At 39.4% G+C, this 27660-nt stretch overlaps 1 protein-coding gene and 1 long non-coding RNA gene across 16 annotated transcripts in view, besides 2 other annotated features; one reads left to right on the plus strand and one right to left on the minus strand.

Annotated features, from left to right (window-relative positions):
• SPATS2L (spermatogenesis associated serine rich 2 like) overlaps positions 1 to 27660 on the plus strand; it is a 176386-nt gene that overhangs the window by 79994 nt on the left and 68732 nt on the right. For 14 of the 15 annotated variants that reach the window (NM_015535.3, XM_024452788.2, NM_001282735.1 and 11 more), the window contains 2 exons: positions 3351 to 3411; positions 26439 to 26547. In NM_015535.3, coding sequence (NP_056350.2) covers positions 3373 to 3411; positions 26439 to 26547 — 148 coding nt within the window. In that variant the 5' untranslated portion in view covers positions 3351 to 3372. The remainder of the gene's footprint in view (positions 1 to 3350; positions 3412 to 26438; positions 26548 to 27660) is intronic. The other variant, NM_001282743.1, reaches the window with a different exon arrangement.
• Positions 3172 to 4371: an enhancer, noted in NCBI's record as "BRD4-independent group 4 enhancer chr2:201253767-201254966 (GRCh37/hg19 assembly coordinates)". NCBI's record gives its function as "activates an origin of replication core promoter dependent on BRD2, P300/CBP, MED14 and CDK7 cofactors, and independent of BRD4, by STARR-seq in HCT116 cells {active_cell/tissue: HCT116}" and the evidence as "EXISTENCE:reporter gene assay evidence [ECO:0000049][PMID:35650434]".
• Positions 10783 to 27660, minus strand: part of LOC101927741 (uncharacterized) — an 81319-nt gene continuing 64441 nt past the window's right edge. Inside the window, exons 6-7 of the long non-coding RNA XR_007088047.1 lie at positions 25587 to 25636; positions 10783 to 19504 (exon numbers count right to left, since the gene is read on the minus strand). This is a non-coding gene — a long non-coding RNA (uncharacterized LOC101927741). The remainder of the gene's footprint in view (positions 19505 to 25586; positions 25637 to 27660) is intronic.
• Positions 19488 to 20687: an enhancer, noted in NCBI's record as "MED14-independent group 3 enhancer chr2:201270083-201271282 (GRCh37/hg19 assembly coordinates)". NCBI's record gives its function as "activates an origin of replication core promoter dependent on BRD2, BRD4, P300/CBP and CDK7 cofactors, and independent of MED14, by STARR-seq in HCT116 cells {active_cell/tissue: HCT116}" and the evidence as "EXISTENCE:reporter gene assay evidence [ECO:0000049][PMID:35650434]".

Genomic DNA, 27660 nt, shown 5'->3' on the forward strand with positions numbered 1-27660 from the left:
TTAGTGGAGACAGGGTTTCACTGTGTTAGCCAGGATGGTCTCGATCTCCTGACCTCGTGATCCGCCCACCTTGGCCTCCCAAAGTGCTGGACCACAGGCGTGAGCCACCGCACCCGGCCAACTTACAATTCTTTAAGGCAAACCAAATTTATGGTCTGTTTAAATTAGAACCTTTTAACTAGTTCCCCATTGCCTCTGTTATGCACCAGCTAGCAGAAAGCTGTGATATTAGAAACAGTAAGATTTTATTTTACTGTGATGTGGAGAGGGTATTGGAACCCACCTGGAAGATGGAGCCTGTAGAGGCAGCCTTCCAGAGCCTGTAGAGGCAGCCTTCCACCTGGGAAAAATAATTGAGAGTAAAATGGGCAAGGAATGGGTCCCTGTAATTATTTTTATCTTATTTTCCCATCTGAGAAAATAGCCCCATTCTACCCTCACAGCCAGCATTTTTCTTCCACAAAAAAATAAAATTATGATTTGAATAAAATTGTAATTAATTTTACTAGCATCAGTCCCAAAGAAGAGTCTTCCTTGAGTTAGACTTGAGGTCAAAGAGAAAAAGAATTGCCAAGGAGATGTGAGCGTGTGTGCGTGTATGTTTTCTTACGAATATAGCTTACCATCCATTGTCACCACGTCTTCAGATCTCATAAATTTTCTCTCTTCAATGGAATTCCTCCCTGATTCCTCTGTGGATTATAACATTTCAGCTTTAGAGAATGCTGCACATCCAAATCCTAGACATCAAAGCCCAAATGCAAAAACAAAACAAAAGCTTTTTCTGTTAGATTTCACATATCTGTAATGGCAAAATTAGATGTGTCCAGAAGAATCAGCTGATCTGGTCTAATGAAAGTCATTGTGGCTCACAGATTCATTCTTAATGGCACCAAATTCAGCTGTCACCATTCAGTTCTTCATAGTTCTTAGGTATACCTCTCTCTCTCCTCCCCCTCCATCCCCCTCTCATACACACATTCATATACTATCACACACTGAAAAATTCATGTATATACAATGTATGTTTACATGATGCCGAAACTTTCATTTGAATAAGAAAATCAGCCATCCAGAAGTCTTCCAATATAATGATTGCAGACTGTCTTGCAGGCTTGTAATGACCGACCAAAGGCTTTACTTTCCACCCCTGGCTTGTAAACAAAAACACCTAATTATTTGTTCTTGTACTTCACACATCATTCATGTTCACTATTAGAAATAATCAGAAAAGAATCCTCTTCTTTACAAACGAGTAACTTTCAGGGTCAGGAATAAGTGAAAATAAAATTCGAGTGTTATTTGCCAGCTATTAGGTTGGTACAAAAGTATTTGGGGCCTTAGCCTTACTTTCAATGGCAAAAATCACAATTACTTTTGCACCAACTGACTCTCCTATATGCCAAGTCCAGGGATATAGAACTTACCATTTGGAGGGTGTTTTCAATAGATGGGGCACTTTTATGGAGCATTTGGGAAAGCGCTGCTTTACTGGAAGCAAGTATGCAGGGTCTCTCCTGCTAGCATGTCCAAATGCTTGTGTCAGTGGCAGTATTATTTGGGAACTTATAAAAATAAAATGTTACTGTTTCTAATATTTGATAATTTGTCTCTCTGGATTCCTAGTTGAGAATAATTTGAGTAGTAATAGAGTTAACATTGCGTATTACCAAGCTTTCATCCTAAAATCAGCAATAGATAATGGATCTGAATTTATGCTTTATTTAAGACGTAAGTGTAAAAGAAAATAGTGGGGAAGAATCAGAGAATTTTTGCAAGTTATCCCTAGCATGTGTCTACTCTGGAGGTGGGTACACTCTTTATAAGAAAAGAAAAGGAATATAAGAAAGTGTTTCAGTGGTTCTTGATTGACAAAAAGCATTCAACATGCAAATAGGTGGTATATGTTGATATCTTGGCCTGACTGGCTGCTAATTTCTGAATCAATCTGTTTGTGCATTTAAGTCATTTATTCTCTATTTCAAAAAGATTGAATCTATTAAAGTCTTAAGATCTGTCTTCCATTATAATGGTGAAAGATTTTGACCAGATAAGGGAAAAGAAAACACAACAGCTTGATTTTGGGAACACAGATCTTCTCAGAGGGGGCCACTTTACAAAGAGATTGGACACCAAAGGCAGAAAACCTAAAGATTTTGAAGAAACAGAAGGATTATGGGCAGTTTTAAGGGTCCATTTGAAAATGGAGATTATGAAATTATGGACAATAAAAATTACAATGAAGATACATATGTATCAATCTGGAATGTTGCTCATGATATGTTGGTAAGTGAAAAAACAAATTTAAAACTGTTATATTCTGTTGGAGAGTAAGGCAGGAGAGGTGGCAGCTTTAGATATGGTGGTCACCTCCTCTTGGAGGAGGTGATAACTCAAGCTAAGATAAAGACTGCAGAGGACAGGTGCATGGCTCACACCTATAATCCCAGTGCTTTGGGAGGCCGAAGTGGTAGGATCGCTTGAGCCCAGGAGTTTGAGACCAGCCTGGGCAACAAAGTGAGACCCTTGTCTCTACAAAAAATACAAAAATTAGCTGAGTGTGGTGGTGCATACCTGCAGTTCCACCTACTTGGGAGGCTGAGGTGGCAGGATCGCTTGAGTTGAGGAGATGGAGGCTGCAGTGAACTGCGATCACGCCACTGCATTCCAGCCTGGGCAACAGGTAGGTTTTCCTTTAGGTTTGTTTTGAGACAAGCTCAAAAAAAAAGGTTTTGAGATGCCCCCCCCCCACCCAGAAAAAGACTACAGGAAAGGAACAACCCTGCAAAGATCTGAAATTAGAGCATTCCAGATAGAAAAGTTGAAAAAAAAAAAAGAAAAGAAGTTGTGGGGTGGATTCTTATGTTTAAACCTGGGATAGTTTTCTCCTGTTTTTTTCCATAGTGCTTGGTATTGTTATGTACATATAGGAGAGATATATTCAATAAATGTTTGTTAGATTACCAAGGAGCTGATAAAAGCTTTGAGACAGTGAGGACTGTGATGACAATACTTAGTTAAAATAGGTACGGTTTCCCTTCTCTCTATTTTTGACCACCTTTCTTTTACATAATAGGAAGAAACACAATTTAGATAAATTCCCATCTGTCTTTGTCGTTTTTCATGTCAATACAGTATGAATAAAAGATTTTACTTTGTTTTCTAGAGTTATTGTAACATGCTTTTAGAACATGTCTAAGTCAGATGCTTAGCTTGAAAGTATTTTTACATTCTAAAATGATATTTATGATTATGACCGAATGAAGTTGTTTACTGTGTTGGAAGAGAGTGTAAAAATAACACATTGAGAAATCAATTTTAAAACTTAATCTTGTTTTCCTTCTTTATAGGGCCTATTCCACTAGAAGCAAGATGGCTGAACTCAATACTCATGTGAATGTCAAGGAAAAGGTAAGATCAAGTTATACGTTGGCTCACAGAAACTCCAAACTAGGTAATGCAGTTCCTAGCAGGTAAAAACTCAATTACAGTGGAGAAAGGGAAAGTGGTTTTGGGGGATACGTAGTAAGTTTGCCACAACAGTAAACTGTTCAGCAGAAAGAATCATAAGTAACATTTACTGAAAGCATGTTAAGCATATGACACTCATTTTTTCATTTACTCTTGACCATAACCCCATAAAGAAGATACTGTTGTTATTTCCATTTTACAGAGGTGGAAATTGAGAAACAGAGAAGTAATTTGGCTAAGTTAACGTAGCTGGTAAACAGCAGAGCTGGGATTTGAACCCATGCAGTGTGCCATTCCACCGTTCATACTCTTCACCCCCAGGCTGGGTTACATCTAAGAGCAAGGGTATTATATTACCTCTTCAGAAATGGACTCAGAGAGAGACATCCAGTCTATCACCTGGTGGTCACGCTGGGCAGCCTTTGAAGTTTCTTTCAACGCTGAGAGTTCATGACTCTGAAAATCCCCACTTCTCATGATTTGTTGGAGACTGATTCCACTTCAGAGCTCTTTCCAAGTCTATGCTGCGTCCTCCACTGAGGGTCAGAATCCCTCACTTGCCACATATGCTGCCTTGTAATGTTAGCTCTTAAGGATCATAAACCATAGACCATGAAGATAAATTTGTCCAACCCATTTGTCTGACACCATAGGAACTGAGGCCCTAGCACTGGTTTGCTAGTGGTTGTATAGGCAAGTGGGAGAGCCTGGACAGGAGCCCAAGCCACCACAGTGCTGGTGCACCTTCCACAGCATCACCCCACAGCCTTCTCTGGACTGTAAACCATGTGAAGGCAGGAGTTTGTCTTTCATCTCTTTGTATCCTCACCATACCAAAAATAGAGTGAAGGATGAGAGAAGTGACATTTGTGAAGCCATTACTATTTTTTCTTTCACTTAGCAACAGGGTAATAGACCCAAACACCACTCTAGATGCCTGGGGTATGGCCCTGAACATGTAGATGAAGTTCCTGCTCCCATGGAGCTCACATTTTAGGGCAGGGAAGCAGAGAATAAACACAAGAATATCTAAATGAACACAGTTGTTCCAGGCGGTGATAACAACTGTGGAGAAAACAGCAGGGCGGTGTGATGAAGGCAAGGGGAGGTGGCTCCTCTGTGTGGAGTGGTCAGGGAAGCCCTTTGGAGGAGGTGACATTTGATTGAGATAAAGATGGGGAAAGAAACAACCATACAAAGATCTGAGGACAGAGAATTCCAGACAGAGAGAAAAGCAAAGCAGATGCCTAAGGTTGACTAAGTTGAATGTGTTTGATGAGCAGGTGGTCAGTGTGGTCCAGGTGTGGTAGACAAAGGTGATTGGTGATGGGAGATGAAGTCCAAGAATACCACTTAGAATCCTGGCTGTCTACCCAGGTCCGTGGATCTCCAAGGGATCGCGGTTAGAATCCATGGGTCCATGAATGTAGATGAGAACAAATACATTTTTATCTTCACTAACATCTAAATGAAATTTACCGTTTCCTCCAGTCATGAATGTAGGCAAAGGCAAAAAAAAAAAAAAGGCCAGAGTAGGGCCAGGTGTGGTGGCTCACACCTGTAATCCCAGCACTTTAGGAGGCTGAGGCGGGCAGATCGCCTGAGGTCGGGAGTTCAAGACAGCCTGACCAACCTGGAGAAACCCTGTCTCTACTAAAAATACAAAATTATCTAGGTATGGTGCCAGACACACGTAATCCCAGCTACTCAGGAGGCTGAGGCAGGAGATTCGCTTATACCTGGGAGGCAGAGGTTGGGGTGAGCCAAGATCGCGCCACTGCACTCCAGGCTGGGTGACAGAGCAAGACTTTGTCTCAAAAAACAAACAAACAAAAAACCCACAGTAGAGCAGCAGTACCCGTGACTTTCACAATTAAAAATCACAGATATTTTCATATCCAATTACATTTGTTGCAGATATCCTGAAATGGTTGTCCGTCATTACTTCAAACTTACTGTAGTTGAAGAACCTTGTTACTATATAATGTTATTTGATGTGTTAATAGAGAAGTACATATATTACTGCAGCATGTTTGTTTTTTATTAATATTCTAAGTATATTTCAATATAAGTAGTTTCCTTTGTAATCACATGTAGTTTATTTCATAAATTTTAAAACATTATTTTGAGAAAGACCCCAAAGGCTTCACCAGACTGCCAAAGGAGGTCCATGTACTGAAAGGTTTGGAACCCATAATACTGCCATGTAGGGCATTATTCAGAGAGCAAAAAGAAGCTGTTGGAAGGTTTTAAGCTGGAATATGACTTGATCTTACATGTTTTAAAAATATCACCTGGCTCCATTAGCGACTGTGCTACATATTTTATAAATCTTCATGTTAAATAACCTTTCTGTTTGATGAGGACACTGAGGCTTGAGGTCAGACTTGTCTTGGTCAAAGTCAAACTCTCAAGAAATGTGGAGGAACAGGGCTTCAAACTCAGCTGTGTTTGGTTCTAAAGCCTGTACCCTTTCCACATATTACTGCTTCTCAGGGTTTTCCATCAAAATGACCCCAAGACACAGAAGGACTAATGTGTTACCCCAAGTCTCTGGGCACATGGTCAAAACTAACTTCTGACAACATACAATTTCCTTGGGGTATTATTACATGTTGTCTTAAAAATCGATGCAAAATTTTTATCCATTGTATTTAATAATATATTCCACACATTATTTCAGTATAAAACCACTGTAACTTTGTGATACTTATTATGAAATATATATACCATTCCTAAAATCCTTGGTATCTTCAAAATGATAAGTGTCTTTTTGTATGCTGATGAGCTGATCTTTGGCTGAGGGCTCTTGGATATCGTCCAATAGGGGCTGGTTGCCCAGGGAACCAACCAGGTGATTAGAGGGTTGGAATTTTCAGTCCTACCCACCAAACTGGCAGGAGGAGAGAGGAGCTGACGTTTAAGTTGATCACCAGTGGCCAATGATGTAAGCAGTCATGCCTATGTAACGAAGCCTCTGGAAAAACCCAAAAGGACTGAGCTAAATACTTGGAGGTTTGGGGTGGTGAACCCAGAGAGGGCATGTTAGCTTTGAACCCCTTTCCACATACCTTGCCCTGTGTATCTCTTCTCTCTTGTGTTCATCAGTAACCTTAATAATATCCTTTGTAATAAACGAGTAAATGTGTTCCCTGAGTTCTGTGAGCCACTCTAGCAAATTATAGACCGTCCCTTATTTATGGTGGTTTGATTTAAGATTTTTTGATTTTATGATGTTCCAAAAGCCATAGGTACTCAGTACACTCCTGATATTTTTTACTGTTTTTTTCCCAAATATTTTGGTTCTGTGGTTGGTTGAATCCACAGATATGGAACCTGTGGATATGGAGGGCCAATTGTACTTGTGCTGGTATCTGAAGTGGGGGGTGGTCTTGTGGAACTGAGCTCTCAATCTGTGGGATCTGATGCTATCTCCAGGTAGACAGTGTCAGAATTAACACTGGGAGAACTAAGTGGGAGAACACCCAGCTGATGTCTGCTGAAGAATCCACTGCTGAACGATTACTTGGTGGAGAGAAGTCCCCCACACATTTGGGTGACCAGAGGTCCCCAGAAGTATTCTGCATTGTGAGAGCATAGTAGGAGAAGCGGAGTTTGTTTTTTCCTATATCTTTACAAACTTATTGGCCATTGAGTAAAAAATAGCAGCAAGATGTCCCTTTTATGTCATGGCTTCTTCATATAATGTCTGAACTCACAGTCATATATTCAAGTGAGAATATGTATTCCCCAATTTGAGAATCTGGGTTGGGCGCCATGGTGCTGATCGAGGATTGGCAGCCCCTTTCCTAATATCTGTTGAGATAGAACAGCTCCTAAAGTTGGACCATGGAAAGGAAAAGCACTTTAAAGAATCAGACTCATAGCAATTGATCCCTGCAAAACATGGCTGGTGGACAGACCAATATGGTAGGCAGAGCAGCCGACATTAGAGTGTCTTATTCAAAACAGAGGTGGCATCATGCCAATGAGGGAAAATAGGCTGATCTGTTAGCACACAGATCACAGAGGTTCAGTGTAAATGCTCCATGCATAGGCTTAAGAGCCACAGTCATCCCACTCCTCATGAGCAGTGTCAGATGTCTACCTGACAATTAACAGTAGTGTTTTCCCACTGCATTTCCGTAACTTATAAAAATGTTGGCACTATTTTGAAAGAGGGTGATGACAATGGAAGTAGTGCTTCTCTAACTTATTTAGTGAATTCCATCTTCCCATGTCAAAAGGTTAATAGATTTCTCAACTCAATGAAATAAATCATAATAAACAACTGAAAATTCTGAACGTTTATAATTTGACATTGATTTATTTTAGTATACTTACTGTCTTTAGTTATTAGCTTTTATGGCCTAAAAATTTTTATGATTAGTTTGTTTCTCAATCTGTCACACAGAGCAATGACATTTTAATTCTCAAAATTAAGAATAACAACTGTTATGTCTTAGATTACAAGCTTGTAGAGATCAGATAAAACATCTATTTAGTGTTGGTGATGCAGTATCTAGTCGAGCACTGTGGGAAATTAATTACTTCATAAGAAGTGTTGGAATCCAATGAGTTCATCAGCTGTCTCTAGTGGGTCCTCTATTGGATGAATTCGAGTAGGTGCTTTGGTGAGGAAATGATTCCTGCCTTCATGCAGCTTTTAGTCCAAAGAAGCAGGTAGCTAATGATTTCAGGTTTAATATTCAAGACAACTGAAACTTAAAATTGACAATCATTTTAACTGTTTCATTTTAAAATATCTCTACCTTGTTGGATTATAACGATAAGGATTTAAATTGAAAATATGGTTGCAATCAGAGTCTGGTCTCTTCGGCATAACATACATCCCCTGCATGAGTGGACCCCGTCCACCTTTTACACCCTTATCCACTGCCGCATCTCCACGCATCTCTCATTCGCCACCCTGACCTTGAATGTGTCTGCCTCCTTTGCAAAGGCTGTTTCCTCTGTCTGGGATGTCCTCCTCAGGGACTCAACTCTCTTCTTTCTCCTACCCTGCCTGAATGATTCGCCCTTCCTCTGTCATTCACCTTGTACTTCTGTGGGCTTCTCTGCATTCTCCACTGCAGCTGTTATTCCACGGAGTGTAATTGTTAGTTGTGGCTCTGTCTCCCCATGTGAGACTGTGCTTCTTGGAGGCAGAGAATGGGTCTTACTATTACTATTCTTGGGTTTGATACATAGTTGACCCCCAGATAGAGTTAGATAAATGAATGAATAATGAATGAATGGACACGCCTGCTTGAATTGTTAAGTTCTTTAGAGACTTCATTTCCCATTTACGATGTTTTGCAAAATCTCAAGTCTTCTTGAAAAATGAAATGTAGGTTAATGGAAATGTCATCTCATTTTAGTACTCTTTTTGCTATTAAATAAAGCATATTTTAAATTGCTTCTAAAAACAGAAACTTGGGTTACTTACGTTGACCACCTGTGGTTCTTCAGAAAAGTAGTATGTTTACATAATCATCAAATACAGGTGGTCTCAGGTAGGCTTCACAATACCAAATGAGGTCCTTTGCTGAGTAACCGGTCATATCCTGCTGCATGAAATAAAAAAATAAAGGGAGAAAAAAATTCCCCAAATGTCACTCTGTGAAGGTGAGCTATCAGAACAAAATCTTTGGGCTAATCTGATCTTATATTTAGGGCATACTCATTTTTTAATAGCTTCTTTTCTAAATAATGTATTTTTAAAGAAATTGAATACTAGAAATTTATAGATGATTTCAGTGTACAGCTTAATAGTCACTGTTAGATTATTTCTGTGTAAAATATGTGGGTACCAAGGTAAATTAGATTTATAAATGTTTAAATAATTTTAACTGAATAAGAAAGGATTATTAGAACTGGTATAGACAAAATAGAAATTTTAGTCAGATATTTTTAATGCATTCCCATAAATCAGTTTAAATAGAATACAATTCAGCAGTAAAACTTGGTGATGGAAAGTAAAGAAGATCTTTGTAAATGGGGTTAATAGTTGCAAAGTGTCCAATTATGCACTGATAACTAATTCCAATGAGTGACCTCTAAGCCACTTTAGAGGACCCAGTACACTTGGGAAGTGATCTCCAACAAGGTAAGGCTGTGGAAAGAGTGTGGAGTTTGGAGACAGAAGTCAGAGATTATTAGTTGAGCACCCTGAAATAAGCCACTTAACTTTTCTGGGCCTCAATTTCCTAATCTGTAAATTGGACATGATAATAAAATCTGCCTCACAAAGTCATCAAGTACAATAATAAATGTAGAGCTGCTTTATGAGCTCTTAACGATATAAACTAGAAAGAATCTGGGGGAGCTTATCTGTTTATTTCACAATTAAAAAATGGAAAAAGAGCTCTAGTTAATTAACATTTTTGTTTGAGGCCTGGCATGGTGGCTCACACCTGCACTTTGGGAGGCCAAGGCAGGCAGATCACCTGAGGTTAGGAGATCGAGACCAGCCTGGCCAACATGGCGAAACCCCGTCTCTACTAAAAATACAAAAATTAGCTGGGAGTGGTGGTGGACACCTATAATCCCAACTCCTTGGGAGGCTGAGGCAGGAGAATCTCTTGAACCCAGGGAGCAGATGTTGCAGTGAGTGGAGAGCATGCTACTTCACTCCAGCCTGGGCAAAAGAGTGAGACTCGATCTGGAAAAAAAAAAAAAAAAAAAAAAATATATATATATATATATATATATATATATATATTTTCCCATAGAACCAAGATTGGAAAGAAAAAGTAAAAAGACCAAATGAGAAAAAGAACATAAAAGCGAACTTGACTTTTTCAAACGTTTATAGCTATTGCTGAGCCTACAAAAAATAAGTGAGACTAGACAATACGATGATATGGAAATGGGGAACAGCTCAGTCTATAATGTCATCGCTGAGCTGCGCCACTCACTGTGAATAGCTTTTAGAACTGTTACAGTTATAGAGGTAAATTGGTTTATAAACAATAATTGTGTAGAATCATTCAAATAAAAAACAAGGAATAGTAAAAAGGAGAAAAGTCTCTTGTCCAGAGAGGTGACATATTCAATGTCTCTGCAGATGATGGAGATAGAAGGTGTTCATGTCTGTGTGTCGTGGTGTCTGTCCCCAACGGATGAGCAGATTTTTAATTATTTTTGAATAAATATGTACTATTTTATTATTTTTTCTTGTAACTCTCTTGATCTGCATTTTACAGAGTAGTGACATATAGTTCAAATCTTTATGTGGGGTGGAGTATGGTCAGAAAAATCCAAGCATTTGATTAGAGAGAGTACAGAAGAAACCCATCATTATGCATCTTTAAAACATTAACTCCATTTAATAGATAACTCGCTTCATGGGATTTGACACAAGTTTTAATGCTAAGTAGTTGTTTTGAAAGTGCAAACCATGGAAGCTTTGGGGAAAAATTTGCAGGAGTGTAGAAGTCAATTTAGTCCAACCCTTGGATTCAAACAAGAACACAAGCCACACAGCTTTCAGATTTCACCATGAAACAGGTTCTTGTCATCATTTTCTCATAGGAAAGGGTCATTAAATTTCCCATTAACAGAAAGGAGAAACATTGACAATAGTTGTTGCCTAATGCTTATGTACAGAACTGCTGTTACTGTTGCTTGGCAACTAGAAGAGATTTGACAAGGAGTCTAAAGGAACTGAATGAATAAATGGAAATGTCAGCCTCAGTTTCAGGGGATAAGAAGAAATTTACTATTGTAGGATTAGCATCGCATTGCTTTTTCCAGGCTACATGATCGGAATTCACAGTGTTTCTCTCCTGCTTCTCCTGCCTCTCCACCCCCACTCCTTCCAGTCTTTCCTGGTAGCCCCTGTGCACTGCAGCTGAGAGGTATATATAAGATAGATGGTTAATGCTAAAGAATACAAGAGCATGTCGAAAATGAAACCCTGTGGCAGCAGGAAGAAGTAACTTCTATTCACAATCCCTTGGGATTTATAGGTAGTTTACCAACATTCTAGTTATTTCTCACCATGATCCTTCGTATTAAATTATTCAGTTTTTACGGAGAAGAAAATGACAATGTTGGAAGGCTGTAACAATGGTTCCTTCTCTCCTAACCTTGTACACTGGAAATCTGTTCGGATAGATTAGACAGACAGGTAGACAGACAAACAGATAGATGCATAAACTCAGACCTTAAAATTGTTATTGTTTGTATTATTATTAAAACCACATTTTCTCTGTAAATCATTGCTCCTTAACTTGATTATAAGCTCCTAGTGGACTTTTGATTTATTTGTGTACTTATCCTATAGTAATATATTATTATATAATAATAATATCATAGACTTTGTGCCCCCCAAATATTGGCTAATTAATCAGTGTTAAATAATTTAGCCACTATTGTCTAATGGTAATTCTCAACTCATAGGGAGGAAGAAGGAAGTGGGACATGCTTCCTGGGTCTAGGGCAAGTATTAGAATGTCAGTGGGGGAAAAGATAGGTATAATTAGAAAAAAAAACCCACATATTTGTTTTCTTTTGAGTCATCCAAGAGACAGATGCCAAGATGAGATGGGATTAAAAGAGATGGGGAAGAGGGTAGGCAGCCAGAGCAGGCAGGGAGAGGCTTTAGACTTCCATGCAAATCTGATAGCTTGAAAGAAGAGGGAGAAGAAAGGAAAATCGAGCAGAGAATGTCTCAAACTTACAATGCAGTATTGAATTTCGGCAGGCTGATGAGGAGTGTTTAGGCCAACGTTGCCCACTGGGGGAATGTTCAGAAATGAGCTTTCACGAGTCCCCAGCCTCCTCAGCTGTTAACTAGCAACCTCCTGGGGGGAGTGTGGCTGGGGTGCAAATGCACTGGGGGACCCAAGAGGAGTGGCAGCTAGGCTGTCAGTCAACTGTGTTGATTTCCGTAGCTGCCACAATACCTCAGAGTGTAACAAAATACATATGTATATATTTAAAAAGGAAATTGGAATACCTATTTTGGAATTCAACTATATGAGAAAAGCTTGAGATTTTTATGTTTATTGAAAAGAATAAATTAAAAGTTTGGGAGCCATCATTCTAAAGTAAATAGTAAATTAAAATGCAAACTCTAGAATTTCCCATCCTTTAGCAAACCAAGTCATACTGTCACTAGTATGGGAAGTCTTCTCAACTTCTAGGGTGAACAATGATTCAGTAATCTTATTCTCCATTAAAAGTATACTTTGTTTCAAACCACATTATAAAGTAACAAAGGGACATCATTATACTGAAAAACTGTCCTTTGTGTACAATGTGTATACATTGTATTTATTCACTTGGCTTCAATGTTTTAATCTGCCAAACGATGGGAGTTCATGTAGATGAACTCCAAAATCCTTTGCAGCTCTATCATTGGATGAACCTGTGGTCTTTCCCACCTCCTACGCACTGGCACTGTGAAAGACCAAAAGGGAGACTGTGCTGCGGATCAGAGAACATGGGCACCAACCTGAGTCCTGATACAAACTGGATGCCTCAGGTTGAACTTAGCACGTAACCTCTCAGTATGTCAGTTTCTTATAAAATAACGGAACCTGATCGAACCATCTTAAAGGTCCATGTGTGGTTCACTGGCATAACATTTCTGATGCCCTCCTGTCTTAGGGATGCTTCGGAACTCTGCTTCTCAATCCTTGAAGGTAATTATCAAAAATATATTGAAATGATGATTTAGGATCAATTATATAACTTAATGTTTTTCTTTCTTTTTAAAAACATTATGCTAAGCACATTTAACATGAAATTTACCCTCTTATTGTGTTTTTAAATGTACAATACAATGTTGTTAGTCATAGGGACAGTGCCTCTAGAGCTTACTCATCTTGCATAACTGAAATTTCATACCCATTGAACAGCAGTTCTCCATTTCCTCCTCCTTCCAGGCCCTGGAAACCACCATCCTACTCCCTGCTTCTATGAGTTTGACTATTTTACATGCTTCATATGAGGGGAGTCGTGTAGTATTTGTCCTGTGCTGGGCTGATTCCACTTAGCATAGCATCCTCAAGATTCATCAGTGTTGTCATGTTGTTGCACATTGCAGGGTTTCCTTTTGTAAGGCTAAATAATATTCCACTGTGTATATATACCACATTCTTTATCCACTCATCTTCCGATGGACAATTGTAGTTTTTAAAATTTTTAGTGGCTCAAATTGTAATTTCAGGAATTTGGCAAATGCTGACTAGTTTTAATTCTTTTTTACTGCCTTTAGAGGAAAAGCAAACAAATAAACTCATAAAATCATTGGGAAAACAAGATCTGGCCAATCAGATGATAATTTTGACTGGTGTTCAAATCATCATGCTCTTTTTTAATTGATCAAACCTGTTAAAATGAAAAATGATATGTAGGTGAACAAATAAACTCCCCTCAAAGAGAGAGAGTGTGCTTCTAGTTTCCATGGTGTTTAAATCATCGGCTTCCTCTACACCACAGTGAAGAAATATCCAAGGTTAATATAATTTAGAGATTAACCCAACTCCCTTATTCTGGTATTGACTAAAAAATAATTAACTCCTTTATTCTGGTATTGGTTAAAGGGTAATAGTGACTTATACCTTTATGGTACTCTTTATCTGAAAAGTTCTGTGAATGAGCAGGAAAAAAAAATCCCTCAGGGAGAGTGAATGTCAATAATTACCATTTCCCCCCTCCAAGTGGAGACTTTAAATTGCAAAGAAAATGAGAAGAAAGATTTTACTGAATATTCTAAGTTAGAAGCAGAAGATTAAAGTGTCTTAGTATTCTACTCTGATTAAAATACCAAAAACAAAATGCCAAAAACAAAATGCCTTGAATGAAGATAACATTTTTTTGTCCTCAGTAATAAATTAAAGTATAGAATTCATCAGTGATAGTGGCTAGACAGAATATTTACCTAAGTCCTAATACCATGTAGGTATAACCAGCTGGCTGAAAACAGACCTCCAGTGGACTCAAGGACTCAGTGTACCCTAAAATTATGTGCAAGTCTAACTGGTAGTTCTGGGAAAATATGAGAAGAATCAAGAGCAATTATAGAAAACATGTAGGTATATACTGAATATATGCTAACTAAATGGATGAAATGAGATATGTATTAAGCTCATTGCTTGTTTAAACGTAGATCAAAGAGACTGTTGCTAACAATGATTTGAGAGTTATATGTATATATTTAAACTTCCCAGTGTCAGATTAAAAATCAAAATTCTGATATAAAAAGTTGATCATGGACTAAATTTAAAGATTTAAAATACTTTAGTTCATTTTAATTTTACTTTTTTGTGTGTGGGAGACTGAAGTTTTATTATTACTCAAATCAGTCTCCAATTTTACTATTTTTTTTAGATAGGAGAGAAGTCCATTTGAATATCTCTTACTCTATAAGTCATCAGCTCATTTCTAGGAATTAAAGAAGTTGTATTTAACAGAAACTATCAATTTTCATTTAGTATTATTGTAACTGTTAAATAAATTTGCTTTTTTTCCAAATGTTCAGTGACTTGACAAAGTATAGACGAAGAATTGGTAAAAAGAAATCTGGGTTGTTGATTTCATTATCTTTAACTATTTGAAGCCAACTGTATTTTTCAAAGAGACAACAATAGTATCTTCCCCCATTAAAAGATGGAGCCTGCCTCTCCCCTTAAAACTGGGCAGACTTTTGTAGCTGGTTGATCAGTATAGTAGGAAGGAAAAGACTTCCAAAGCCAGGTGATTCTGCTACTTCTTCACCAGGTGGGATATTGCAGTGGCTCTCTGGGCTGCCATGTAAACAGTCTGACTGTTCCACCATGCTTCAAGGAAGCCCAGACTAGCCCATCAACACAGACCACTTGGAGAAACCTTGAGACTGCACAAGGAGAGAGAGGCTCAGACACACCCCATCTGCAGCAGCATCCCTCCCCACCCACCATCCATCTCCATGAGAGACCCTGAGGCAGACTGCTCCACCAAATTCCTCCCTAATTCCTAAGCCACAGAAATAGTGAAAAATAGATTGTTGTTCTGAGCCACAAAATTTTGGACACTTGTTATGCAGCAGTGGATACCTGGGATGGATACCCTCTTACAGAGAGAGAGCGTGCCCTCTCGAAGAGTTTTGCTTTACAGAAAGTAAAACTGTTCTAAACTAGAACTGGTATTTTTGAAATTATAATATTACATAAATAATGGAAAGGGGTGGGTGCGTAGTGAGTACACTCAGGTAAATGAGTTGACAGGTGAGCAGTTACACTTAAAAAGAGATCTGTCCTGTGCCACCTTCTCTCCTTTGCCTCATCCACTGTCCCTTACCTATCTATGACTTTCATGATTTCTCACTCACGGTTCTCAATTCTGGATGGATATTAGAGTCCCTGGGAAATTTTTTTTTTAAGGAATGCCAAGTCCCAGATTTGATATCTGGAGTGGGGCTCAGGTTTAGCTATGTTTTGAAAATTCACCAAGTAATTCCAGTTTGCAGCCAGGGTTGAGACTCAGTTTGATGCTGATGGTGCCAAAATCTCTATCCCTGGCTCAGTTCTTTTCTGGAGCTCCAGATTTACAGATTCAGCTGCCTCTTAGATATCTGGACATGGATGTCTCACAGGCTCCCAAAAGAGTAAAGCTACCACCACTGGTCCCTTCTCAGGAAATGACCCCACCAGCCACATAGACAATCAAGCCAGAAACCAAGGAATCACCCATGTGCCTTCATCTTCCCCATTCCCTGCATCTAGTTAAATGCAAATCAATTGCTTCCTCCCAAGAAATTTGTGAGTCTTTTTCTACACTGCCCCATCTTGGTCCATTTTCTCTCCCCTGGACAGTATTAGAATCCTAACAGGAATCCATTTGATCTCCTCCAACACATTCACAAAGAAACTGGAATGACCTTTAATATACAAGCATCATGTTCCTCCCCTGAGTAAAGCTCTTCAATGGCTTGCCCTTAGAATAAGCCTCAAAATTATAAGTCTTCCAGGGCCTTGCCCACTTTTGCTTTGTGCCTTTCTTCTCCAGCATCACCCACAGTCCCCCTCCTTTTCATACTTAATGCTCCAGCAATCTTTGACCTTCATTCCTTTGAGCATGTTCTTCCAGTCACTCAGTCCTATCTCTTCATAGACGTTGTGCCCTCTTCCTGGAATGTTCCACCTTCCCTCCCATTCCCCTGGCCTAACTATAGTGCTACTAACCCATCATTCTCGGTTTAAGCTAACTTCAGTCCTTGGAGGGGGCTTCCCTTACTCTCTAGACTAGGACAGGTCCCCTGTTATAGATGCCAGAGCATCCTTACTGCTTCTTCTATAACATTCATCAAACATTTGCCTTCCTAGACTATAAACCCCAATGCATCTGTCACTGCTGCAGTCCAGCTTCTGAGTCTGTGCATTGTGACTGACTGAAGAAATGAATGAACCAGGTATTAAAAGATTAATTTCAACTTTGAGGGAAGTTTTTATGGTAATACTCTAGCCTCTGTACTTGGCCATGGCCTACACAAAATTCAAATAACAAATCTAAGATATAGAGGATGTCAACTGATTTTTAAAATGATACAAAATTGGAAGGAATGGCTGAAACATTCCTGTTTATCATGGGGCAAAATGCAAGGTTCTAAAACATAACAGTTGGCTGGAGTGATATGTCAGAACTTACATATTGAAATTTAAGAAAGATGAATATAAAATCCTACCTTTGTGTTCTAGTCATTGCACAAGTAAAGGCCCGGGGACACTTGTCTCAAACTCAACGGAAGGAGAGTCAGTAGCAAGTAACCTGCATTTGACCTAGTGATTAATTAATGTGGCTCCTAAAATTGCTGATGCCACCTTAGACTCCCTTAATGGATAAACGGGGCCCAACCAAGGCAGGTGCAGGTCTCACAGTCCTCTGCTCTAATCCAACCACTTCTGGAGCAATGTGCTTCTCTTATAGCAACATATTTTAACAGGATATGCTCAGGTGAGCTTGATCAGATAGTAAAAACTTAGGAGGCACAGCTTATGAAAAATTGCAGAAGAGCACGTTTACTCTATAAAGATGGAATTGTGGAGAACACTTTAGTTCTTTTTAAAAAGCAAAGGGCTGGACTGCAGAAAAGGGGTTATACTTACACACCAGCAAGCAGCACTGGGACCACATACTGGCAATGTCTAACATCCCTTCTCTGAGCATGTCCTTATCATTGACCTCTCTCATCTTCTAATTCTCTTTAACATCTGTTCTTTCTTGTCCCTTAGCCTTTCTCTAGTGTTCCAATTCATCCTCCCCCTTCATAGACCACAGATGCCTTCATCAGACACCTTAGTGATACTCAGCCCCTATGTTTCTGAGCCCTAAAATCTACCACTACATTTCTTACAGTTCAGTTTGTAACTATGGATGATTGCTTTGCTCCTGCTTCTGGCTTGTTGAGAATTGCTGGGGAAAGCCATGCCGATCGGCACCGTAACAGATCTGTGCAGTCCAGCACCATGGACCCACAGGCCTGCTCAGCATTCCATCATTCATCAAGGTCATTTCCTATCTCATTTCCATAAGGGCAGCTCTAAACCTTTCTCCACTTTTTAAGCCCCAAAGCGAATTCTAAAACTCTCACGCAGAGGAATGGTTTCCATAAATTTTCCCCTTCACAATCTGAAATTTTTATTATGTCTTCACTCTCACTTCTCCTTTTCTCCTTTCTCTGAATTCTTAGAAAAACAGAAGAACCTCCCTTCCATTCCACATGGGTTTTGATGACGTTTCTCTTATTTCCAGTGGAAGCTTGTTTCATAATTTATCTCCTCTCTTCCCCTCTTCTAATTCTTTCTCACTGCCATCTCCTTCCCTCTATCAGTGAACACGCTCAGCACTTTGGGGAGATTAATTGTGCAATGACTGTTTTAAGACAGATTGGAGAGAGGAGAAACCAAGCCAGAGAATCCCATTAGGAGGCCTTTTCCAGAGTCCAGGTGAAAGATAGGGGAACCTGTCTGGGTTAATGAAAGAAAGAATAGGGAGCAGGTAAGATTCAGAGAGAACGTTGTTACCAGAATGATGTGCTAGTTATTTATGACTTTGCCTTATTTTCCTTACTCTTTTGTCAGCTCGTTGGATGCAAAGATTGTGTGAGATTCATTTCACTTTCCCTCACAAAATGTGGCTTGAATGAGTGAATGGCTAGAATTCCCCCAAACCTTTGTGGAGAGGGTTGCCATCTGGAAGGTATATTTTTTTAAAAGGTAATAGTTGGTGGGATAGGGAAAGACATCTCCTTATAAGGAGGGAGGAAGAGAAGTGTAGGCCTTTGTTTCTCAAAGTGTGGTCCATTGCATTCATTTCCAGTTGCTGCTGTAACAAACTGCCACAACTTCAGCAGCTTAAAACAACACACATTGATTATCTTCTAGTTCTGGAGGTCAGAAGTCCGAATGGGTCTCATTGGGCTGAACTCAAGGTACTGGTTCTGGAGCCCTGGGGAGAATACTCTTCCTTGCATTTTCTAGCTGTTAGAAGCTGCCTGCATTCCTTGGTTCGTGGCCCCCTTTCATCTTCAAACCCGGAGAGGCTGGCCAAGCCTTTCTCTCATTGCATCACTGTCCCATTGACTCTCTTCCATCTCCATCAAATTATAAGGACCCTTGTGATTATACTGGACCCACTGAGATAATCCGGGATGATCTCCCCATTTGAAGGTCAGCTAATTAGCAACCTCAATTCCATCTGCAAATTCAGTTTGCCATGTAACCTAACATGTTAACAGGTTCCAGGGGATAAGGCCATGGACGTCTTTGAGGGGCCATTATTCTGCCCACCACATCCCTGGACAAGCAGCATTTACATCAGCTGGGAGCTGATTAGAAATGTAGAATTCAGGACCCACCCCAAGCCTCTGAATCAGAATCTTCATCCCAATCAGATCCCCAGGTGATCAGAATATATTTTAAAGTTTGAGAAGCCACAACTAGAATGTTTCTAAGATCCTCTCCACTTTTACTTCCCATAATTCTATAAAAACTGCATTTTTTTCCATCTTCAAATCTGCATTATTCTTTCTCTTCCTGGTTTCCTGCCAAAAAAAAAAAAAGTTAGTTTTGATTTGTACCCCTGGTGTTAATTCCCCAAAAGTCAGCCAAGTAGAACATGACAGCACCTCATGCATATTTTTTGCTGGCAGGAAGTAGATGTTAGAAAAGGCAATTAAATTATGGAATTATCCATGATGTGAAGGTACTGGTCTGCAAAGAGTATTTTCTTCCCCAAGAAAATTCATAGGAAAACTACCTCCATTACTGTGTAGATAATATTAGTGGCCCAGCAAGTGAAGCAAAGCATACACAGATGAGCTGTTTTTAAGGCATCTCTGAATGGCTCAGCATTTGAGAAATGTGACCAAAGCTGATTATAAAACTCCTTTCAAAGTTGCAGGAACGGCAAACCCATAAATAACTCCAGTTCCCATTGGTGTGAGGAGGAGGTTGCTGGCTGCTTGATTGCTGTCCTTATCATAGGGGATAAGGTTAAGCTCACCTCCAAGATTGCAAGCTTCTCAAGGAAAGAGCCAGCCATATGCTCTGCCTGGCACCCAGGAGGCACTCCATACATTTTGGGCTTGAATCCATTAAGCTTTTTAATAGTGTGTAATACTTAATTCTTAATTAGAGATGCACTTAAAAATGGATAAATAAAACTAGAATATGTCAGTAACCATCTTACTAGACTCCCTGCTTCCTTTTACTCATTCAGTGAGTCATCCCTTTTACAAACATTTATGAATCATCTACTGAATGCCACCCATTGTTCTAGACCCTGTGGATATAAAGATATGCTCCCTGTCAGTAGAGCAGGAAGTCACATAAGTAAATAATGGTGGCAATGTCAATGCTGGAAGAAGTGTGTGAGCAAAGGTCTCAGGCCTCTCTTCTCCCAGCTGTCATGTACATTCTAATGGGACTTATATTTAAAATCTTCCTTTTCTCACCTTTGCCAATCGGGATTATTTAGCTTTATTATTTTTATTTCCAGCCCCGGCTATTAATGTTGCCTCCAGGCACACCATACTTGCTCTAGAAAATGAAACCCTCTCAAACTAGCACAAGTTTAAAAAAAAAAAAAAAAAAGAGGTTATTATTATAAAGGTCTGGCAGCGTCTCATGAGACTTCAGGAAAAGTTAAAGGAGCAGGAAGGAGAGAAAGTGAGGCAGTTGCAAGTCCAGCCTCTCTTCATCTGCACTCCAGCTTCTCTCCCTTTGTGTTGAATAGCTCAGACCTTCAAGGCAGAGGGTCTAATTGTTTCACTTTGTCTTTTCTAGCCAGGCCACTTCCTGACCACTGTAATTCATTGTCACTGTGTTCTGATTGCTTCCTTCATAGCACTCACTTAGCACAAGTTGCAGTGATATATTTTAATTTCTGTGTTTATATCCGTTTCCCTCTCTAGTTTTGGCAGTGACCATATCTGTTTTGTTACTGCTGTATCCAGCCTCTAGTGCAGTGCCTGATCATAGTAGACATTTAGTAAATAATTAAATGAAAGAAGAAGAGGGGGTAAAACCATGTTAACCACCCTAAAGATAGACTTTCTCATTGTACCAGTTACACCATAGAGAAGGGAAAAGTGGGGACAGAGTCTTGGGTCCACTGACCCCTTAGCAAGTCTGTGGAGGTAGGAGGTTCTCTAAGAAGAAGGGTAGACAAGGTAGTCTCCCCCAAATACGTCTTGACCAACATTCAAGCCACATGGTCTTTCCACTTCAAAGCCACACCTGGAAGGACCCCTTAATGCAAATGCTCCCACTTTTTTCTTTTTAAAATCTATTGAGTAGCTAATATATGCCAAATTCTATATGAAACACTTTACAGGCATCATCCCTTTCCATTTTTACATAGGCTCTAGAAGATAATATCCTCATTTTACAGCTACAGAACCAAGTTTCAAAAATTTAAGTGGTTCACCCAAGGTCATAGAGCTAGCATGTAGCAGAAGCAAGATTAGAACATAGGTCTGTCTAACTCCAGCGCTCCTTCCATGACATTTGGCTCTCTATAAAGTACTCACCCTTACTCAGCAAAGTTAATTCCTTCTCTGTAGCACCACAGTACCCTGTTCATAAGGACAGTACAACACTTACTACCTACTTTTATTGTAGACATTTCTGGCTCCACTGCTAAACTGTGCCTCCTTACAGCAGAACTGTATCTAGTTTTTCTTTGTATCCTCAGCTCCTGTCATTTAATGGGGGCTCAACCAATGTCTGTCTGCTAAGCTGAGCCTTGGAAGGATAGACAGGCAGTTACTGTGCTTTTTCATATTTTTAAAACTCCACAAAATACCATGAGTACCTTATTCTACAGAATTAAAATTGTAAGAATGTAAAAATCTCATAAATATTCCTCCAGTCTCTGTTATTGAAATTTAAAGAACATATATATGTTCTCCCTACCCATATTATGCTTAATGACATCAATCAAGTGAGACCTGCCCACTGTTATCATGAGTGGTAGATGCAGAGTGCTGGGATGGTCCACACAAGATGGTGGAGTCTTCCTTTGACTCAGAGCAGCCGCCTGGTGTAGCTATAAGTTGGCATTCTCTCACTCAACAAATATGTATTAAATACCTACTACATGCACCGTATTAGTCGCTTGTGAATGGGCATGGTGATTATCCAAAAATGGCCAAGATGAGGATTCTGCCCTCACGTTGCCTACCATCTGGGAGACACGACACACACACAAATACTGGAGCTATAAAGGAAAAGGGGCTAAGACACTTGCTGACCAAGGGCTGCAGGAGTTGAGGCAAAGGTGACCTCTGGCAGGGGGTATGGAGAAGGATTTCATGGAACACATGGCATTTCACCTGGAATGTGCAATTCAGACATATCTTGGAAAAGCCCGGCCTGGGGGTGGGGGTTCAAAACTGGGCATGGGGAGCTTGTCTGTGAAGGGGTAAAGTCAGAGACATTTAGAAAGCAAGTTGGAGCCCAATTGTTGCTGGCGTTGAATGCCAGGTTGCAGATAATGAACTTTATTCTTAAGTTCTTAAGGAAGAGGGTAAAATGGTCACGAATATACTCCAGGAAGAGCAGCTGCCTGGGACTGAATTGCAGGGGAGAGACTGGAAGCAGAGAGAACAGTTATTTTATGTTTATTTGATAATGCCGGGTCTTTGCTGATCACACAGCTGTGTGGGTGGATTGAAAACTTTGGTCAGAGCCACTTTGGAAACTCAGACATAGTTTAAGTGACTCATCAGGAAGCCAAGAAGAATTTCTAAGGGTCATCACAGACAGGCTCAAAAGATGCACAGTATGAATGAGGAAATCTGTTAACGGCTCTTAACCAGACAGCTCAGGTGCAGAGAAGGCAAGTTAGTTTGGGAAACTGAAACCAAACAACGTCCATGAAAGTCACACTGCCTCACTGCCCAGTTAGTGCAAGCAAAAGGCCAGCAGGGCGGGCCTGAGGCGCCATGGGGCAGAGCCTGCGGAGTCAGATAGGGAAGCCCCAGAGAGAGGAGAGGATCATGACTAAAACACTCAAGAGGGGGCATCAAAACATCATGCTGTTTCTAGATAGCACATGGACTTTGCCAAACCAGAGTGAAATTAGCAGAAGCAAAATACGGGAACATAATTTTGGGAAGGTAAAGCAGTTGCTAAATGAACCGCTAACTAGCCATCTTGACTGTCACCCAACAGCGGCCGCCTGGTGGGACCACTTTGTTTATGGCATGAGAGTCCTTTAGCGGGGCAGTCAAGTGCAGCTTCAAACGGTGGCTTAGGTGTTAGCCTGGGCTGTGGCAATGAAGTAAAAGGCTGTGTGAAGCTGCGCCAGAAACAGCCTCTGCAAAACAGCCGCTGCGGGCGTGAATTTTATGAGTTCTCCGTATGCAAACTACTATTAGTCACGCATTGATTGATCCATTCCTTCCAGGAGCATCCGTCCTCAGAAGCTTGGTTTCCAACTGCAAAGGCAAGCCTTTCAGCACAACCTCACTATAACTCTTCCTTGGTCATCCATGCCTTATATTTAAAGCTCTGCATAATGAGGGCTTTTTTTTTTAGATTAAGATGCTTAAACCCTTTTTGATACCACTGAATTATGAGGAGTGACACAGTGAGGTTCCTTTATTTTTATGTGCACATGTGAGTTCACACAATTTCTCCATCTTTCTCAAAGACATTTCCATAGGAAAATAAACATAGTGAATTTATAAATAACAGGCTGAGAAACAATGCCGCTGTCTCCACATTCGCCAAGCCAAGTGATTAAAGCAGAAACAGAGGTTGGCCCAGAAATTTACTAGAATTCAACATTACTATGTAATATCCAAGTATAAGCAGAAACTATTTTTTTCCCCTTTTTCTGTAAAACTTGGAATACCTGTCCTAATTAAATGTCTTCCTCCAGGAATTGTATCTGATATTCAGTTAGATTTGATATCAAAACTCAGTTATTGACAATTTTCTAAGGATACAGTCAGTGCTAGGATATACAAAATGACAAGGATAGAAAATGTTTTCTGTGCACATCTTACCATGTGTTTTTTTCTTTTGAAGAAGGATAGGCAAGAGTAGTATAAACATCTAAAAAGGAAGTATCTCCACAAGTAGTGGTTTATTTTGTGTTTTGCCTTAACATAATACAACATTGTGTTTTGCAGGGGAGAGACTGGAGGCAGAGAAAGCCATTATTTTATGTTTATTCCATAATTCTGGGTCTTTGCAGTTCACACAGCTGTGTAGGTGGATTGAAAACCTTTGTCTAATATAACTATAATGTACTTAGTATAATTAATATTATATTAATTATATTATTTAGGTGTGCCTGATGTGGTAATAATGATGGTGATGATTAAGAAATTTTATGTAATATGAACCCATAGTGGCTTGAAATAAATGCTAGATTTAAAAGAGCTATATTGGAAGGGTAACATAATCTTTAGGTATAATTCCAGTGCACTGGTAACAATGAGGCAAATAATGTGTATTGTTGAACACATTCTGTTAATGACCTTCCTGGGCTGGATGGAGGGATTTTTTTGTGTTTTTCTTCCTCCCCATCTTAACCTCTCTCAAAAACAAAACAAAACAAAACAACAAAAAAAAACCCAGCTCATCAAAAGGATAGTTGAGGGTTGCTCACAGGATCAAAATCCTTTGCACAGCCTTGTAGGCCCTGTACGATCTGGTCCCTGCCCAGTTCTGGCTTCCTCTTGTACTCTAGAAGCCTACCCTCTGCCTCCCTCCCTAATCATGTCCAACTCCTCCCTTCTCATCCATGCCTTGCCCCTCACTCATGCTGTTCTCTATGCCCAAAATGCTTTTCCCCTTCCCCTCCCACCCATCTCTTCTCACTCATCCTCCATCCAGGTCTCAGTGGATAAAGTCATATAAGTCAAGTCTCCCTGTCATATGATTTTATACCACTTAAGTGGAATGTATAAGCATATATTTGTGCAATCATTTGGTCAATGTGTAAATCCTCCTCTGGTCTCTAAGTTCCAGGAAGTTTGATTGCTTGTCAGATAATAGGTATTCAAAAAATATTCACAGAATTGGATTTTTAAAGATGACACAGAGAAGTAAGAAAGAACTTAGATTTGAAGACGTTAATTTGTTTTAATGGATGCCAGAAAAACTAAGAACAATGAAATGTGAGAATAGAAAATCAATTTGTATGTGTGTGACTCACACACATACATATATATATATATATACATATATATATAATATTAGAGTCCTCAGTAAAACTCAAATATTTAGCACTTATAAAATGTCAAGATTCAAAACCACCTTTCTAATCTATAGTGTCAGCACCTTTACAAGTCATATACCCACCCATGGCTTGTGCTGGGTGGGTACATGACAGTAGCTTGTGCTGTTGTCTCATTACAACCTAAATACTCTTACATGCAGATCTGTATGGAATAGGTGATCTGTTTTCTAACATAATCAGGAAATAGGCCATCTTGTTCAATGAAATGTTCTGGTCAATAGCATCACATTACACATACCATACCCATTTAATCCATATTCTGTGAATCCAATTATACTAAACTGCATTTAACTCTAAAACCCACTGATCATAATTTAAATGCTGATGAAAACATTTGAAGACCGTACAGTGCTTTAATGATCACTTACCTTTGCACCATGCAGTACTCTAGTATTCTCAGTAGCAGCTGCAGTAATCCCTGTGATAGAAAACTGGGTGAACCAGGTTTTACTAAAATCAATAGAACATTCTGTAGTTATTGCAAGTACTGTGAGATAAAGGTCAATTAATTCTAATAGTCAAGAAGAAAGAATATATGCTAAATTTGACTAGGAAATGCATATATGTCATTAAACGTTGAATATAAGCTTTAACCTATTGAAATCCTTAGTGGATATATGTATTTACTATTTTCAATGTTTGATTTTCAGAAGTGTGTTCACAAACATTTTTTGGACTATAGCTAAGATTACCATTTCAAAAATACAATGCTCCACATTTTTGTATCTTTAAACATTAATGGAATTTCACAGCACACTTCTGTTGACCCTCAAGATGACTGTTTCCACTGTGCAGATAGAGAAGCTGAGGCATGAGGCTATTTCTGTACATTTTCTAAAGATACCCCCTGAGCCAGTGGAAAGGAAGCCTGAGACAGAAAAAGACTTGGTGTCCTCACTGAGAACACATCTTGTATGCATCTGTAGTCTTGGGGGAGGGTAGATTGCAAAACCAGAGTTGGCTTTTCACACATGCTCCTACACTCCTACAAGGAGGTCTTTGTAAAAATGTGTACACAAATAAAGTGGGTGTCAAGGTGATTACCAGGATGAATTTTCACTGGTCTGGAATGCCTTGAGTATGCTTGATGACAAGAAGGTAGATTAGTTGGCTTTTCAAGGCCTTTCTAATAGTTGTAATTCTATCCAGTGGGCAATTCATAGATGAAAAATATTTAAAGTGTTCACATTTCTATTTCTTTTTTTTTTTTTCCTTTACAGATCTATGCAGTTAGATCAGTTGTTCCCAACAAAAGCAATAATGAAATAGTCCTGGTGCTCCAACAGTTTGATTTTAATGTGGATAAAGCCGTGCAAGCCTTTGTGGATGGTAGGTATACCTGTACCCTGCAGCTGAAGATGTTAGACTTAAATATTCCAGATATTCCATATTTTTTCCTTAAATGAACTGAATATCAATTCATTATGTGTACTTTAGGTCTCATAGAAATGTGCGAGGTTTCACATGATTGCGCTACTGCACTCTAGCCTAGGTGACAGAGTGAGACCCCATCTCAAAAAAAAAAAAAAAAATAGACACACTCAATAAGAATAGAATTTGGAAGTTCTTTATCTCTCATTTAAGGAAAAAAAGACTCTAGATAGTTTTCAAAGGATATTGATAATAGTGCTACTAATTTCCTTGCCTACCAGTCATTCCAATTTAATATTAAATGTGTCCTTGGCCAGCAGTGACTCACGCCTGTAGTCCCAGCACTTCGGAAGGCGAAGGTGGGCAGATCACTTGAGGCCAGGAGTTCGAGACCAGCCTGGGAAACATGGTGAAACCCCGTCTCTATAAAAAAATATATATATAAATTAGCCAGGCATAGTAATGCACGCCTGTAGTCCCAGCTTCTTGGAGGCTGAGGTGGGAGGATGGCTTGAGCCCCTGAGGCAGAGGTTGCACTGAGCTGAGATCGCACCATTGCACTCCAGCCTAGATGACAGACTGAGACCCTGTCTCAATAGATAAATAAATAAATGTGTCCTTTATTTGATACCATTCTTATGAATGGAGGATAATGTATTTTGGTCCTTATCTGGAAAGTCTTCTCACTTCTCCAACCAGCATAATCCTACTTGGCTTTATGACTGGAATTCTTAAACCTGATGCTTATGTAGTCTAAGAGGACTGGTTTATTCTTTAATATCTTTAGTTTATGATTTTTAGATTGCCAAATTAATCAGAATATCAGTTTATCTTATCTATCTCTAAAATCTTTTTGCTTTATTTTAAAAATTTTGTTGTTTAGGTAGTCCATTGCCAGAGATGTTATAAAATCTAAAGTCTCAGGAATACGTTTATCCTATAATTTACAACGTAATGCTTTGGATTTCCTGTAAATTTTGGGAAATTATCCTCTTCTAATCAAATTAAACAAGTTCCAGTTTTGAACAAAGATCTCTTACTTGTCCTCAGTTATCATATGTCTTCTGTCCT

This window comes from Homo sapiens, chromosome 2 (genome assembly GCF_000001405.40).
Source record: "Homo sapiens chromosome 2, GRCh38.p14 Primary Assembly".
NCBI lineage: Eukaryota > Metazoa > Chordata > Mammalia > Primates > Hominidae > Homo > Homo sapiens.